The sequence below is a fragment of the Homo sapiens genome, chromosome 1 (assembly GCF_000001405.40).
Source record: "Homo sapiens chromosome 1, GRCh38.p14 Primary Assembly".
In the NCBI taxonomy this organism is placed as follows: Eukaryota; Metazoa; Chordata; class Mammalia; order Primates; family Hominidae; genus Homo; species Homo sapiens.
In genome coordinates, this window is record NC_000001.11 from 170,264,592 (window position 1) to 170,266,470 (window position 1,879).

A 1,879-nucleotide genomic window follows, 5' to 3' on the forward strand; every position below is an offset into this window, starting at 1 on the left:
ATGTTACTTTTTGACCTGGAATCCTCCAGTCGCTTCACATACTACTCAATGAAAAAGTCTGTCTTTACAATGGCCAAAAGACCCTTCATGATCCCACTCTTTGATCTCATCTTCTAATATTATCCCCCTCATTTACTTCATTAGCCATATTGGTCTCATTTTTTTTCTACAATAGAGCAAGAGCATTCTACCTTAAGGCCTTTGGACTAGCGTTTTCATCTGACGCATTTGTTTCTCAAATACCCACATGGATAGCTAGTCCTGTCTCTCAAGCCTTTGCTCAAATTACACCTTTTCAACCAGGCCTACTCTGATCTCCTTTTTAAAATTGTAAATTGCCTCAAACCGAACTCCATTTATGTGGTCCCTCTGACCTATTTTATCTATTAAATAGAACTTATTACCTTCTAATATAAGATACAATGTGCTTAAGTGTATAATACAGGCATACAATGTGTAATGATTACATCAGGGTAAATGGGATGTCTATCACCTTAAGCACTTATCATCTTTTCATGTTACAGTCCAATTATACTCAATTATACTCTTTTAGTTATTTAAAAATGTACAATAATTATTGTTGACTGTAGTCACCCTTTTGTGCTATCAAATACTAGATCTTATTCATTCTATCTAACTATATTTTTATAGCCACTAACCTTCTCTATTCCACTGACCCCCTGTATTAGTCTCTTCTCATGCTGTCAAGGCTTGGGGCTTGTACCCTCTGAGAACATGGACTGAGCTGTACCTTGGCCGTTTTAGACATGGCTGGAGTGCCCAGGATGAAGGGCACCATGTCCCCAGGCTGCATATAGCAGGGGGGCCCTGGAGCCAGCCCAGGAAATCATTTTTCCTCCTAGGTCTCCAGGCCTGTGATGGGAGGGGCTGCTGCAAAGTTCTCTGAAATGCCCTGAAGGCATTTTTTCCCATTGTCTTGGCATTAGCATTTGGCTTTTCATTACTTATGTAAATTTCTGCTGCTGGCTTCAATTTCTTTCCAGAAAAATGGGTTTTTCTTTTCAACTGCATTGTCAGGCTGCAAATTTTTCAAACTTTTATGCTCTGCTTTCTCTTGAATGCTTTGCCACTTAGAAATTTCTTCCATCAGATACCCTGAATCATCTCTCTCAAGTTCAATGTTCCACAGATCTCTAGGGCAGGGGCAAAATCTTGACAAACTCTTTGCATAACAATTGTGACCTTTACTCCAGTTCCCAAGAAGTCCCTCATCTCCATCTGAGACCACCTCAGCCTGGACTTCCTTGTCAGCATTTTGTTCAAAGCCATTCAAAAAGTCCCTAGGAACATCCAAACTTTTCCACATCTTCCTGTCTTCTGAGCCCTCCAAGTCTCTAGGAAGTTTTCAACTTCCCCACATTTTGCTGTCTTCTTCAAAGCCCTACAAATTGTTTCAACCTCTGCTCATTAGCCAGTTCCAAAGTCGCTTCCACATATTTGGGTATCTTTAGAGCAGCACCCCATTACCTGGTATCAATTTAATGTATTAGTCCATTGTCACACTGCTATGAAGAAATACCTGACACTGGATAATTTAATGAGGAAGGTGGTTTAATTGACCCACAGTTCCACAGGGCTGGGGAGGCCTCAGGAAACTTACAATCATGGCAGAAGGGGAAGTAAACACCTCCTTCGTCACATTGTGGCAGCAAGGAGAAGTGCCAAGCAAAAGAGGAAAAGCCCCTTGTAAAACCATGAGATCTCATGATAACTCACTCACTAACACAAGAAAAGCATGGAGGTAACTGGCCCCATGATTCAATTACCTCTCAGTGGGTCCCTCCCACCACATATGGGGATTATGGGAACCACAATTCAAGATGAGATTTTGGTGAGGACACAGCCAAACCCTATCACC